The 16466-nt window shown below is 38.6% G+C and overlaps 1 protein-coding gene across 9 annotated transcripts in view, besides 1 other annotated feature; it reads left to right on the forward strand.

Annotated features, from left to right (window-relative positions):
* Positions 1 to 16466, forward strand: part of CELF2 (CUGBP Elav-like family member 2) — an 874126-nt gene that overhangs the window by 197568 nt on the left and 660092 nt on the right. The window lies entirely within an intron of this gene.
* Positions 15948 to 15997: an enhancer, noted in NCBI's record as "active region_2992". NCBI's record gives its function as "activates an Ori minimal core promoter by ATAC-STARR-seq in GM12878 lymphoblastoid cells {active_cell/tissue: GM12878}" and the evidence as "EXISTENCE:reporter gene assay evidence [ECO:0000049][PMID:35858748]".

Raw genomic sequence — 16466 nt, forward strand, 5'->3', positions numbered from 1 at the left:
GATTCCCCCAAAAGAATTTCATCAGGAACCTTTTCTTGCTGTTAAATTGGGTTGCTAATTGATAAACTGTTCACGGATGATCATGACTTAAATATGTCACCTTTCACAGATATAATAATAACAACAATAGCTATGTATGATGTCATAGCAACATTGCAAGGTAAGTTTTATCCCAGATTAAAAATAGTAAAGTGGAGGCTCAAAAAGGATAAGAAAATTGCCCAAGTGATAGTGTGTGTTGGAGCAAAGGTCTTAATTTTGGTTTACCTAAGTCTAGAGTGTTCACCTTTCAGCAAGCCCATGCCATCTCTGTGGCTTACTGATGCTGTGGGTGTTTATTCCAACCACCACTTACTTTAGCAAGCTTTTCCTAGCACCCCCAGATGGATTTCTCCACCCGCTCCATTCAGCAGCTGCTATGCCTAGTACAGTACTTCTCTTAGGCACTCCCAGTATTTTATTGCTGTAATGGCTACAATCAATTCCTTCACCTCATTCTTCAAGGCTGAGACAGCATTTATTTTTTTCTTTATATTCCCTAGCCTCTAATTCAGTACCTGCAATGCCATAAGCAGACTAAAATGTGTAATAGAAGAAAAATGAATGAACGATAGAACATTTTACATTTTTGCAAAGTGTCATCCAAAAGCATGACCTATATGACATTCATTTTTTAAAGGAACCTGGAGAATCAACAATCTTTCTCTATCCCTTTCTGTAATCCAAAGTAAACTTAAAGTAAATTGAACCCAAATGGAAAATTCTACAGAACGAACACACAGGGATGCTAACATATTGCCACCAATCACTGTCATCTGTGTCGGGGACTCTGAATAACTTAGTCATAGTCCCTGTTCAACACAAGTGTGTGATCAAAATAAACAAAACTCAGAAAAAGATTTTTTTTTACATCTGCCTTTTTAAAATTGAGGTATAATTTACATACAGTGAGATGCTCAGATCTTAAATGTGTTCTTCAATAAGTTTTGATGAATGCAAATCAAGACAGAATACTTCTCCAGTCCCAGAAACTCCTTCCTGCCCCTTTCCAGCCATTTCCACATCCTCTTGCAAAGTAATCACTGATTTGATTTTTATCACCATGGATTACTCGTCTACGGTAGACTTCCATTTAAATTGAATCATATAGTGTCTCCTTTTTGCATCTGGTCTCTCTCAGCAAGATATCATTGAGATTCAACTATGGTTGTGTGTATTCATAGCTCATGCTCTTTATTGCTGAGTTGGATTCGGTTTTATAAACACAGCACAGTTTATGTTTACATTCTTCTGCTGATAGACACATCTGCGTGGTTTCCAGGCTCTGGCTTGTATGAATAAAGGTGCTATGAACATTCTTGTCCAAGGCCTTTTGAAGATATATGTCCAAGGCCTTTTGAGTTCATTTATCTTGGATATATACCTAGGAGTGGAATTGCTGGCAAATGTTGTAAACACCTATCTGCATTTTTAACAAATGAGGTATATTCCTTTAACTTTTCAAATGTTAAATAGATATATAAGTGATGATAACTGTACTGTGAAAGTTAGAACATCATCATAGTAGATTTAGTTACCACGTTTCTAGGGTCACTTTCCCTTGAAGCAGAGGCTGAGACAGGAATTCTTATGCAAGGAGTGAATTGAGGGAGTGCCCCAGCAGGAACATATTAGGCAGGAAGGGAAGCAAGTGAGGTAGGGAATAGTTAAGTAAAGAGGTGGTTTCAGATGAATTTCAGCCTTATTCTCATCCCACAGAAAGTTCTAGAGCATCTCATCTCAGGTAAGAGATACAGACCTTTGTATCTAAACATCAGTCAATCATTTGTTGAGGACAGCCCTGCTCCAGGGCTATGGGGTTTGCAAGTAGAAGTAGCCTCCCAGGTACCTCTGGGATGAGGAGGCTCCTGGAGAGTTGCGGGGGGTGGAGGTCAAGGGAAAGTCCCTGGAGAGGAGAACAGCTGTGAGCCATTAACAGCCAGCACACAGCACTGGGTGCATGGGAGCACCCGCCTGGTAAAAGGGTCTGAGCGGCCTCCAACCACGTCCACTGTACCAGCTCAGCCACTAGGAGACATAAATTCTCTTCATATCACAATTTACCTGCATATGTCCAAGGTAGAACAATCCATGCAAAGAAATGCACTCAGACTTCATGTGGAAAGGTCCACCCTTCAGGGCTCAGATCCAGTGACTCCAGTAGACAGTTAGATATTTGCCCAGGCTTAAGATAAGACTAAAATGTGCATGACTTCTCAGTGAGTTAAAAACTCAGCAGCAGCTGCCACCATTGAACGTCTGCCTGGTGACTTTGCACCACAGAGACAACGCAAGCTGAGATCCTCCAGCACTGGCCTGATTCCCTGTAGTGGCTTCTCACCCTGTGTCCTGGCAGGTCAGTCACTTCCGAATACAGAGATTTGCAGGCATGGTAGGCAGATGAGGAAGCACGTGACAAAAGGGAAATTTGTGTGCCTAAGAAGTCTCATTTTGTAGTAAAAGTGACCCCCTTCTCCATGACCCTGGTCTTTGGAGCAAGTGATGTCTTTCTTTAAGGAAAATTTTAATGCTAAATTGACAAAAAAAAAAGTGCAAACAAACCAGCAATGGTGGAGGGAGAAATAGGCAAGAGCCTTGGAATCTACCAGATGATCTTTTGACATAGTAGCTTTGCTTTCTGATGTGTTAATTGGAGAGCACATTAACCACTTGCCGAAAAAGAGAAGTGTCACTACAACATCAAATGCTTCCATGGCAACTCAGTGTCAAGATGTCTTTCCATGACCCCCACAGCACTTGGCACAAACAAAGCCCCATTCCAGCTTCTTGGTCTGAACTCCACTGTTCTGAAGGGTCTTATTCACAGCAGTACAAGGAGCTATTGTTCCACTTCTAAGAAATAAGATGGTGGTGGAAAGGAGAGCTGTTATTGCAAACTCATCATACTTTATTATTTCCATCAAAGGAAGAGAGGAAGTCCTCAGGCAGGCTTAGCTGAAATATTACAGGGGCTAAGAGGTGAACGTGAAAAACCTTTCATTTTAAGCGTGCAGCAGCTGCTGTGTACACTCAAAATATTGTGAGGAGGAACTTGCCCAAGAACAACCATGAAATTGAGCAACATTTATTAATCTCTGGTTATTTCTCCGTGGTTGTTCAGAAGCAAGCGGCTACAAGTTAATATTTAGGATCGTTCAAGGGGAATTGCCTCATATGTTGCAATTCCTCCCTAGTTTCCCCCAAAGAATAAAAGCACAAGAAAAATCCAGGATATTCATACACTGATAGAGAACAAGTTTCAAGAACTCTTAACTCTTTAAATTTTGACCAGTCTCAAACTAATATGACATTGATTTTGGCTATAAAAGCTATTCAATCCATTTGAAAACAGGTTCAAAGAATGTTTATGTCAGTAGCTAAACCGAGGTGAAAACAGGAAGAAATACTGAAAGTTCACTATTTCTCACATAATGCTCAGAAGAGAGAGTAAAATTGTTTGTGGATGCTGGAAAATACAGGGTAAGATGATAAGAAATGCTTCCGTTGGCTGACCCATTGAAAAACATGTTAAGGCTGACTTTTTGTTTATAGTTATTTATCAGTGATATCAGGCTTTCATATCCCTGGCCCTGAATATCCATCCAAGATGAATCACAGCATGCAACAGAAATATTATTACATTTCTAACTCAACAGTAGCCACATGTTATGTAATTAAAGCCCAAATAGATTCTTCAGTATGTCATCGTCAGTTTACTACCGGTAGTTAACCTATTGCAACAAAAGAAATCCATTTTGTTGTAAGTGACATTTTGAAAGAGAAATTGACTTTGAAAACAGATTTATTTAGCCTGCTAGAGCTTATCTTCAAGAACTTTGAACTCCCAAAACAAATTAGTTTAAGAATATAAACCACGGAGGATAGATGCATGTTAACATCCTCAGAGTCAAAAAACTATAAGCCTCTTCAAAACCTGAGTGAAAGATAGGTAGGCAAAAACACAAAAACACAGTTTTGGTGGTCCTGGCACATCACAAGCTGAAGCTAGATTTTCTCAGCAACTAAAAATAATAGGCATATCAATATAATAATGGTTATAACAATATTTATCTCTCCAGAATAATGTGAGATGATGCAAGAAGAGAAATCACTACTCAGTTCAAATATTCATTGTATCGTTCCTTTACTGCAACAAGTTCAGGGCTCAAGTTTTTAAAAATGAATATAGAAATATAAACACAAAGTGATATTTTTAAAAAGCTCTGTGCTGAAAGATTAATGATGGTAGAGGTGTTTTCACCTGGAAAAGTGAAGCTAGAAAAATGCCCTCCTAGACACCCTTGGATATTTGAAACAATATTACAAAGACACCACGTGAATTTCCTCTATATTTGCAAAGGAACAAACAAAAGAGAAAAGGTGAAAGTAGAGTTTGGGTAAAAATTATGCATATACTTTTTTCAATTTCAACAACTACGGTGGGCTAGCAAGGAAGACTGTGGGATTCTAGAGATCTTTAAAGTGGCTAGATAGAAATCAAGCTGGGTAGAAAACCATTTGAACCATCTTCCTTGAGTTCTGCTAAATACAGAAAACGTAAGAGAAATTTTGTGTTTGCCGTTACGGTAGTAGCCCCAGTGTGTGGTTTAGGGGAATCTATCTTCGTGGGCAGATCTCCCTCTTCCATTCCTTTTCATCACAAAGACAGAAATGGGAAGTTTAAAAGATTACTGAAATAGTTAAGACATTTTGCAATCGCAAAGAGGTATTCACATTTACTGTTCGAACTAAAATTATCATTGCAACTAATCAAATATAACCAAGAAAAATAACAATACCAACAAATGAAGGCAGTGTGAAGCCACTCAACACTGTAGTACTGGATTAATCATGTTGCTCTTTGAGAATTTAAAGCTTTTAATCATGTAGTGTTGCCTTCTTTGGTTAAAATTCGTGGGCACTTTACAGGTTTATTTGGGCCCCAGAGCCCCTTCATTGTTCACTAAGTACAGTGAAAACCAGTTCAGAATAAAGAAGAAAAATTAATGTTAAACTGAATAAAGGAGCTGAAAAGGTCAAACTGTGTTCCTAGGGTCAAAGAGTATGCCCACAGGTGGAAAAAAACATGGAAATCAAAATTAAATACAGAGCTATGCCGGCAAATTTGTGGAAGTAGTGAAATTGTCTGCAAATTGAGCTTCCAATGGTTCTGCATTACAAATCCATAATATGCATAAAGTATATTATGGATATATGTAAATGTATCCATAAGTAATGTATCCATAAATATATATATATAAATGTATGTGTAAGCCAGAATTTTATTTTTTTCTTGTAATCTAAACATCTTGAATTACCTATTCAATTATCTCTTCTCACGACCGTGCAGGGTAGGCTGCCTCAGAGACTCGTTGTCCACCCTGGACATAGAAACCTACCAGCAGGTATTAAAATGTTGCTATTTCGTAAGTATCCATTTTGTAGTTGAAAATAAAGTTAACAGAGTCCTAATATAATAAAGAAAATATTCTGTTTATTTAATCCTGATTTCAGTGCATCACAAATTAGTTTTAAAAGAAGGTTGATGCTATAATTTTACAAGTCACTTATTAATAAACACTAGGATATAGGAATGCTCCAGGAGATGGAGTTAGAAACACCAAATTCTGGGTATTCTTAAATGTTAAGGTCCACAAAGAACTCATTTGGTAGAAGAAGGGCATAATGTTCTAAGGAAATATTCTACAAAAACTACTCTGCAAGCCTATCCCATACAATCATCAGAAGTGGAAGGTCCAGGAACGAAGCCAAGGCCATGAAGCTTATAATAGTGTTTCACCCACCGTGCCAAGGCCCGGTGATACGAAGAGTCAGGGACTTTCTCAGCAGGCTTCATCATTCTCACCGCTTGCAAAGCAGAGAAAATCCTTCGATTGGCTCTGTTGCAGCCCTGGCTGTGTTTCCAGGTATCTTAGCTTTTCTTTCTTTCATACTTATTTACTGGGTTTCCAAATCTACTCAGCCTGAGAGTGCAAATTTCATTCTTTCCATTCATTGCTCCCCATAATTTTAACCTCTCCCTTTTCCAGATGAAAAGTCTCAGTAAAAAAACAGCTACTGAATGTGCAGCATTTGTCAGATGCCACTAGTCAACTCACTTCAGGTCGGGGTGCTGTGTTGGCTCCGTGTCTCTCAAGAGGAAATAAGTCAGTGGGGGCAGGTTGTGGGTTGGTGCCCAGCATAGCACCAGGTGACCACACACGCTCCTCCACCTCCAACTTATTAATGATCTCAAGCACTTCACACCATTTCTGCCCTTAAGCTTAGTTGAAGAATCAAAGATGAGTCTCAAGTTGGTAGTGGAAGTAGCAAACAAGGAAGGAGAGAAGGCCCTGAAATCACCTATCTCAGAAACCGCCAAGATTCTCACCTAAGGAGGATGATTATGTGTTTGTAAGAAAGAGGCCGGGCGCGGTGGCTCACGCCTGTAATCCCAGCACTTTGGGAGGCCGAGGCGGGCGGATCACGAGGTCAGGAGATCGAGACCATTCTGGCTAACACGGTGAAACCCCGTCTCTACTAAAAATACAAAAAATTAGCCGGGCGTGGTAGCGGGCGCCTGTAGTCCCAGCTACTCGGGAGGCTGAGGCAGGAGAATGGCGTGAACCCGGGAGGCGGAGCTTGCAGTGAGCCGAGATCGCGCCACTGCACTCCAGCCTGGGCGACAGAGCGAGACTCCGTCTCAAAAAAAAAAAAAAAAAAGAAAAAAAAAAAGAAAGAAGATGGTTTAACCTTTAGCCTATTTTCAGTGGTTGGCTTGGTTTTGCACACACATTCACACACACATACACATACGTTCATGCACACACCACAGCATACATTTATAAGCCAAAGGCCCTCTAAAATAAGTCAGTTGGGAATCATGATGGAGATGTGAATAATAGAAGAAAAAATGATTATGCATCCCGGGCAATCCAAAAGGTTCCTGTTCATTTGGAAATATTTTAAGATGTCAGGGCTGAAAGGCACCATGCTCTTTGAATAAATGAATTGGTCTCCTGGCGTTGTGTCTATGGAAGCTATAGTTATTACTACTCAGACAGCTGACTTTTTGTTTTAATTATGCAACAGAAACTGGAAAAATGTTTGGGGTCAACTTTCTATTTTAGTGACTGCCCCTGTCAGTCGATGCTGTTAAAACGACCACGCGTTTGTTTTGGAAGAAATAATTTATTCAAAATATATTCCTGCATTTAGCTCTTTCCAAATAAAAGAAAGCATGTATGTGACTGTGTGAGAGTGCTCTCAGGTGTCAATACATAGAAAAGGAGATGTTTTTTAGCACAAAAGGCCACAGGAATAGCTGCCAGGCTGATCACGACTATAAATCAGTGTTGAAATATTTCCTATAACTTAAAGAGTATGTAAACTGGAGTTGCTGAATGGGTCTCCCAAATTTCAAAGAGCTCCTTTATTTTTATCTGCAGGAGCAGTATTATTCCCACTTTTGGATCTTGGAAACGTTCTCCCGTGTGTGGGCTTATGCAAATGAGATTTTGCAAAGGTGCCTCTCTGCGCACACAAATACCAGTCCCCAATCCACTGGAACACAGGGAATAAAAGCACAATTTGGAATCAGAAGAAGTCAGATAGAAATAAACCGAGCCCTTCCACTCACCAGGGACATAGTCCATGCCATTTTCCAGCCAGGATTATCCTGAGCCTCTCAGAATGGCAGTGCATTGCAGCTTTTTACCATGCAAACAAACCCCATGATTCTTTGCACATCCTCACTACCAGCAAAATCCCTTTGACTAAATTGACTGCTCAAATTATGTGCCCCAAAGAGGCACAGATTCAAACAAGCACCCGTGCCAGCCCTGTAGTCTTCTCTACCATTAAAGAGTATGAAATGGATAAATCAGGCAAAACACCAGCCTAGAGGGAGAGACTTAGATATCCAGAAATTTACGATGAGCATCCCTGTAGTTAAACGAATAGCTTTCACCATTGACATTTTTAACAGTTTTATGGCAATATAATTGACATACAATAAACTGTACATATTTAAAATGTACAATGCAGTACTTCTTATCACGTGTAATCATCCGTGAAATCATCACAATCAAGTTATCACCCCAAATTCTCCTCAGGTCCCCTTTTAATCTTCCCTCCCACTGCTCTGCGTTCCCAACCCCATCCTATGATTTAGGACATTGATCTGTCAAGCAGGCTGAGCAAGTTGTTCTGCCAGAATGCCCTACCTTGTGGATTTGACTGGCTGCTGCTTCATGGACCCAGTTAGCTTATTCCTCTGTCTTGCATGTTTCCATGAAAGGTACAGTTCCATGGTACGAATTTCTGATGGATTCACGGTACGCAGTTTGGGCTAAATACAACATATATGTTTCCCATTGCATCATGTCAAAGACACTTAATATCGTATTGACCCAACTACTTCTGTTTTTACTCTCTCTGACACTAGGTTTTATTTCTTGTTTTGTTATTCTTTGTTATTATTTGCTTTTCATTTATTTTGTTCTTAAAGGTTACATATAGGCCAAGCACAGTGGCTCATGCCTGTAACCCCAGCACTTTGGGAGGCCGAGGTGGGGGAATCACTTGAGGTCAGGAGTTTGAGACCAGCCTAGCCAACATGATGAAACCCTGTCTCTACCAAAAATATAAAAAATAGCCAGGCAGGGTGGTGTGCGCCTGTAATCCCAGCTACTCAGGAGGCTGAGGCAGGAAAATTGCTTGAATCCAGGAGACAGAGGCTGCGATGAGCTGAGATCATGCCACTACACTCCAGCCTGGGCAACAGAGTGAGACCCTGACAAAAAAACAAACAAACAAAAGGTTACATACAAAAAAAATCTAGTTACATGACTATGAATATTAGTTGGTTTGTCCTAAAGGGGCTTTTAACTTTACCTCTATCACAAAATATTTTTATACCCACCTTATTCACACCTTGCTGAGGAGAGAGGCAGCTCAGTAGTGGTTTGGTGGCAGAAGTGGATTTGAACTGAGATTCTCAGGTTGAAAGCAGTGTGACCCTAGCTAATTGACTGTTCTTCTCTGAACTTCCATTTCTATGCCTACAAAATAGAGATTAAAATGTCAGCCAAAACATCTGAAAGATTGGTTGTATAAATCAAAGAGAGAATATATGTGTTGCTATTTTATGAAGAGTAAACTCCTAGTCAAATAAAATGTTTTATTATGCTGATGTTTTCTGAGATTAGAAAGAATCCTAGAATTATACTGCACAGGTGGAAGAATTGAGACAGAGAGAGACCAGGTGACATTACAGAACTGGAGAGCAGAACGTCAGCTGCTTGGTTCCCACCTGACTGCATTGTCAGAAGCTAACTGGCATCATTTTATTCCCAAACTATTCATAACACATTCTTTCTAAAGAAGATGTGCAGATTCGGATTCTAATATGTAATTTGCCATGACTCCCTGGGAGCCAGGACCCAAATGCATAAGGGGATAAAAGCCTACAGGTCTATCATCTGCTATCACTCCTTAAATGCAATCTGCAGGCCACCCCAGCTGGATTAGTCATTTTCACAATACATCCTATGCTTTACTGACACTGCTAACGCTCCCTCTTCATGATATCTTCGTTTATATTCACAAGATATTATTCCCTGTCCCTCTGAATCCTGGAGAATTTTAATTTCTTAAAGAGCTTACACACTTTTCATAGTATTATTGCTTTTTGTGTTTGATTGCATGCTTCTTGTAGGAAGGGACTGAGTCTCTTATATGCCTTTTTTTTTTTTTTTTTTTTGAGACGGAGTTTTGCTCTTGTCACTCAGGCTGGAGTGCAATGGTGCAATCTTGGCTCGCTGCAATGTCTGCTTCCCAGGTTCAAGCGATTCTCCTGCCTCAGCCTCCCAAGTTGCTGGGATTACAGGCAAGCGCCACCATGCCTGGCTAATTTTTGTATTTTTAGTAGAGACGGGTTTTGCCATGTTGGTCTGGCTGGTCTCAAACTCCTGACCTCAGGTGATCGGGCCACTTTGGCCTCCCAAAGTGCTGAGATTACAGGCGTGAGCCATCGCTCCTGGCCTCTTACATGCTTTAAACATAGCATATGCTCAACATATATTTGTTGAATTAAACTCAACTGATTTTCAGCCCCAATCTGAGTTTCCAACAAGAGTCATAACACCCTTATTGATTGTCCAGCCTAGCTGCAAACATCAAACAAAACATAACACTTACCAGTTGACCAAGTTCTGTTAAAAAAAATTAACAAAATGAAAATAAGGTTATTCGTACTTAGACTTTTTTGAGATTTTATTTTTAGACCAGTTTTAGATTCACAAGAAAATGGACAAAAAGGTACAAAGAATTCTCATAGATCCCTGCCCCCTGCCCCCACATTTGCATAGCCTCCCACATTATCAGCATCCCCAACCAGAGTGGGGCATTTATTACATTCAGTGAACCTAGATTGACACATCATTATCAACCAGAGTTTGTAGTTTACATAAGGGCTCACTCTTGGTATTGTACATTCTATGGATTTGGACACATGTATAATGACATGTATTCATCATTATAATATGAGTGGTTTCACTGCCCTAAAAATCTGTGATCTGCCTATTCATCTGTCCCTCCCCTCTAACCCTTGACAACCACACTAATCTTTTTACTGTCTCCATAGTTTTGCCTTTTGCAGAATGTCATAGTTGAAATCACAGTCTGTAGCCTTTTCAAATTGGCTCCTTTCACTTAGAATTATATACTTATACCAAGTGCAATGGCTCATGCCTGTAACCTCAACACTTTCAGAGGCTGAGCAGGTGGATCACTTGAGCCCAGAGTTTGAGACCAGCCTAGGCAACATGGCAAAACCCCATCTCTACAAAAAATAAAAACATTAGCCAGGCACGGTGGCATGTACCTGCAGGCCCAGTCACTTGCGGGGTGAGGTGGGAGGATTACCTAAGCCTGGGAGATTGAGGCTGAAATGAGCTGTGATTGCACCACTGCACTCCAACCTGGGTGATACTGTGAGATCCTGTCTCAAAAAAAAAAAAAAAAAAGAGAAAAGAATTATCTGTCTCAAAAAAAAAAAAAAAAGAATTAGGCACCTAAATTTTCTCCATCTCCTTCCATGGCTTGACAGCTTATTTGCTCATTTTAGTACCAAATCCTTCTAAATAATTGTCTGGATCTCACAGTTTATTTATCCATTCACCTACTGAAGGACCTCTTGTTGCTTCTGACAATTGTGAATAAAGCTACTATAAACATTTGTGTGCAAGTTTCTGTGTAGACATAAGTTTTCAGTTCCTTTGAGTAAATTCCAAGGACTGTGATAGCTGGATCACATAGAAAGAATGTGTATAGTTTTGCGGGAAACTGCCAAAATGTCTTCCCAAAAGAGCTGTATTATGCCACATTCCCACAAGCAGCGAATGAGAGTTCCTGTTACTCACATCCTCACCAGCATTTGGTGTGGTCAATATTCTGGATTTTGGCCATTCTAATAGGTGTACAGGTGTATCTCCTTGTTGGTTTAATTTATGTTTTTCTGATGACTTATGGTGTGGTGAATCTTTTCAAATGCTTATTTGCCATCTGTATGTCTTTTTTTTTTTTTAATTGACACAGAGTCTTGCTCTATTGCCCAGGCTGGAGTGCAGTGGTGCAATCTCAGCTCACTGCAACCTCTGCCTCCCGAGTTCAAGTGATTCTCCCACCTCAGCCTCCTGAGTAGCTGGGATTACAGGCATACGCTGCCACACTTGGCTAATTCTTGTATTTTTAGTAGAGATAGGCTTTCCCCATGTTGGCCAGGCTGGTCTTGAACGCCTGACCTCAGGTACTCCACCTGCCTCAGCTTCCCACAGTACTGGGATTACAGGTGTAAGCCACCGTGCCCAGCCTGTATGTCTTCTTAAGTGAGATGTCTGTTCAGGCATTTGGCCCATTTTTTAACTGGGTTGTTTATTTTCTCACTGTTTAGTTTTAAGAGTTCTTTATATATTTTATATAGTAATCCTTTATCAGATGTGTCTTTCACAAATATTTATCGCCGGTCTGTGACTTGCCTTTTTATTCTCTTGACAGTGTCATTCACAGAACAGAAATATTTAATTCCAATGAAATCCAGCTCATCTAATATTCCTTTCAAGGTTCCCGCCATTTGTGTCACACTCAAAAAGTCATTGCCAAATCCAAGGTTATCTAGATTTTCTCCTATGTTATCTTCTAGGAGTTATATAGTCATCTAGATTTTCTTCTATGTTACCTTCTAGGAGTTTTATAATTTTGCATTTTGCATTTAAGTCTGTGATCCATTTTGAGTTTTTTCTGTGAAGGGTAGAAGGTCTGTGTCTACATTCCTTTTTTTTTTTTTTTAATTGCATATGCATGTCTAGTTGGTCCGGCACAATTTGTTAAAAATATTATGTCTTCTCCATCTCATTGCCTTTGCTCCATTGTCAAAAATCAGTTGCTATGTTTATGTAGGCCTATTTCTGGAATCTGTCTTCTGGTCTATTGATCTATTTATTTATTATTTTACCAATACTATAGAGTCTTCTTTATTGTAGCTTTATAGTAAGTCTTGAAGTTTGTAGTATCAGTCTACAAACTTCATTCTTGTTCTTCAATAATGTGTTGGCAATTCTGGGCCTTTTTCCTATGTATATAAATTTTAGAATCAGTTTGTCAATATCTACAAAACAACTTGCTGAGATTTTCATTGTGTTTGCATTGAATTTGTAGATCAAGTTGGGAAAAACCGACTTGCCAGTATTGAGTCTTCCTGTCTATGAATATGGAATATCTCTTCATGTATTTAATTATTATTTGATTTCTTTCAACAGAGTTTTGTAGTTTTCCTCATATAGATCTTGTATGTATTTTGTTAGATTTATTCCTAAGCATTTTTTTTTGAGGGCACTAATGCAAATGGTATTGTGTTTCTAATTTAAAATTTCACGTATTCATTGCATAGGAAAATGACTCCTCTATATTCACTTTATATAACTTTACCATAATAATCGCTTACTAGTTTCAGGAGTTTGGGGTTCTGTTTTTGTTAATTTTTCAGATTTTCTACGTAGACTACCATGTAATGTCCAAACAAATTTGTTTCTCCTTTCGCTATCTGTATGTATTGTCTTTTCTTTTCTTATTGCACTAGCTAGTATTTCCAGTACAATGTTGAAAAGCAGTGGTGACAGGGAACATCCTTGCCTTGTTCATGATCTTAGTGAGATCTGAAGTAATAAACCCTTTTTCATTTCTGATACAGTAATTTGTGTTTTATCTCTTTTTTCCTTGGTTGGACTCACTAGGGCCTTACCAATTTTATTATCTCTTCAAAGAACCAGCTTTTGGTTTTGTTGATTTTCTTTATAGAGTTTCTATTTTCAATTTCATTGACTTCTGTTCTAATTTTTATTATTTCTTTTATTCTACTTACTTTGGATTTAATTTCCTCTTCTTTTCTTAGTTTCTTACAGTAGAAGCTGAGATAATTGATTTTAGATCTTTCTTATTCTCTAACATATGCATTCAATGCTATAAATTCCCCTCAAAGCACTGATTTCGCTGCATCCCACACATTTTGATAAGCTGTGTTTTCATTTTCATTTGGCTCAAAATGTTTTTTAAATTTCTCTTGGACCTATATGTTTTATAGAAGTCTATTTTTTAATCTCCACATAGCTTCTGATTTTCCAGCTCTCTTTTATCATTGATTTCTAATTTAACTCCATTGTGGCCTGACAGCAGATATTATATGATTTCTGTCTTTGGAAAATTGCTAAGCAGTGTTTTATAGCTCAGAATATTGTCTGTCTTTGTGAATCTTCCATGTCAGCTTGAGAAGAATGTGTATTCTGCTGCTCTTGGATCAAGTAATTTATAGATGTCCATTATATCCAGTTGATTGACAGTATTGTTGAATTCAGCTTGTCCTTACTGATTGTATGCCTGCTGGATCTGTGAATTGCTGATAGAGGGGTATTAAAGTCTTTAACTATAATCATGGATTAATTTATTTCTCCTTGCAGTGCTATTGGTTTTGCCTGGTATATTTTCATGCCCTGATTTTAGGCACCTACACATTAAGAACCATTGTCTTCTTGGAGAATTGATCCCATTTTTATTAGTTAATGTCCTTCATTATCCTTGATAATTTTCCTTTGAAGTCTGTTCTTTTTGAAATTCATACAGCAACTCCTGCTTTCTTTTGATTAGTGTTAGCATGGTATATTGTTCTTTATCCGCTTACTTTTAATCTGTATATATCTTCATGTTTAAAGTGAGATTCTTGTAGAAAACATGCAATTGAGTCTTGTTGTTTGATCCACTATAACAGTCTGTGTTTTCATTGCTGCATTTAGATCACTGGCATTCAAAATCATTATCAATATAATTGGATTGCTGTCTACCATATTTGTTACTATTTCCTTTTTGTTGCTATTGTTCTTTGTTCCTACTTTTTCTTCCACTTCTTTTCTGCATTTTGTGGGTTTAATTGAGGATTTGATATGACTCTATTTTCTCTCCTTTCTTAGAAGATTAGTTATACTTTTTTTCTTACCTTATTAGTGGTTGCCTTAGAGTCATTAATTTCAAAAAGAATAACAAATTCAAGCCCTCTTTCAAATAACACTGTGCCACTTGTGTGAGTGTGCCACTTGTGTGAGTGTGCCACTTGTGTGAGTGTGCCACTTGTGCCAGTGTGAATACCTTATAATAACAAAACAATTCTAATTCCTTTCTCCCATCCCTTGTACCATTGCTGTCATTTATTTCACTTATATGTATATAGAAGCATACACACACAGAGGTATATACACACAAACACACACACAAGCATACATAGTTGAAATTGTTGTTGTGATTTTGAACATACTGTTACCTGTTAGATAAAAAAATAAGAATAAATGTTTTTATTTTACCTTTTTCTTTTTTGATGTGCTCCCTTTATTTATGTGGATCTGAGTTCTGACTTACGTTATTTTATTTCTCTCTAAAGTAGTTCTTCTAATATCCCTTGCAAGACAGATCTACTAGCAACAAATTCCCTCAATTTTTATTTTTCTAAGAAAGTCCTTATTTCTCCCTCACTACTGAAAAATAACTTCACAGGGTATAGGAGTCTAGGTTGCTGGTTTCTTTCTCTCAACACCTTAACTGTTTCACTTGACTCTTTTTTTGCTTGCGTGGTTTCTGAGAAGTCAGAGGTGAATCTTTTTCCTTCCATAGATAAGCGGGGGTTTTTTCCCTTTGACTTTCAGAATTTTCTTCTTTATCTTTGATTTTCTTTTGTTTGAAAATGAAAGGCCTAGGTGTAGTTCTGGCATTTTTGTTGTTTAGTGTTCTCTGAGCTTCCTGGATCTGTGGTTTGGTGTCTGACATAAATTTAGGGAATTTTTCAGCTATGTTTCAAGTATTTCTTTTTCTCTTTCTTTCCCTTCTTATTTCTTTTTACACATTTTATGTCTTTTTTTTAGTTTTCCTATAGTTCTTGAATATTCTGTTTTTATCAGTCTTTGTTCTCTTTGCTTTTCAGTTTTGGAGGTTTTTATTAAGATATTCTCAAACTCAGAGATGTTTCCTCAGCCACCTCAGGTCCTCCAATAAGCCCATTAAAGGCATTCTTCCATTTCTGTTACTGTGTTTTTGATCTGTGGCATGTCTTTCAGCTTCCTTCTTAGGATTTCCATCTCTTTTCTTACATTTTCCATCTGTTTTGATATGCTATCTACTTTCTTACATAGATTGCTTAGCATATTAATCACAGTTGTTTTAAATTCCCTCTCTGATAATTCCAACTTCCCAGTATGTTTGGTTCTAATGCTTGCTGTATCTCTTCAAACTGTGCTTTTGCCTTTTAGTATGGCTTGTAATCTTTTCTTGGTAGCTGGAGATGATGTACTGGGAAGAGGAACTGCTGGTGGTAGGCTTTAATAATGTAGTGGTAAGGTGTGGGGGAAGGAGAAGCATTCTGTGGCCTTATAATTAGGTCTCAGTCTTACAGTGAGTTTGTGCCTCTGAACTGTGAAATTTCCAAGTGTTTCTCATTTTATTTCTCCTTCCTTAGGTGAGACAGGATGGCTGGAGTGGGCTAGAGTTGAGTTTTTTCCTTCTCCCACCAGAATGCCACAGTGGGCTGGAAATGGGTATTTCCCTCTCCCATGGGGAAGTCCACACAGCTGGGTAGAGTTGAACTTTTTCCCTTCTCCTGGGTCAGTGGCGCTCTGATAAAACTCTAGCACATTAGACCGTGGTTAACTAGCTTTTCCTAAGGGTAGACTTTGTTTAAAAGAACAGAGTGATCTGGTGTGTTTCAAAAATGGTTCCTTGGCCTCTCCCCATGCCAGAAGCAAAGCACCAAGAGATTTTTCTCTTACATTCACTGTGAGGATCTGGTCAAGCTCCTGCAGGTAAAATTCACAAAAGTGTGATGGGGTTCCCCT

Source organism: Homo sapiens, chromosome 10, assembly GCF_000001405.40.
Source record: "Homo sapiens chromosome 10, GRCh38.p14 Primary Assembly".
In the NCBI taxonomy this organism is placed as follows: domain Eukaryota; kingdom Metazoa; phylum Chordata; class Mammalia; order Primates; family Hominidae; genus Homo; species Homo sapiens.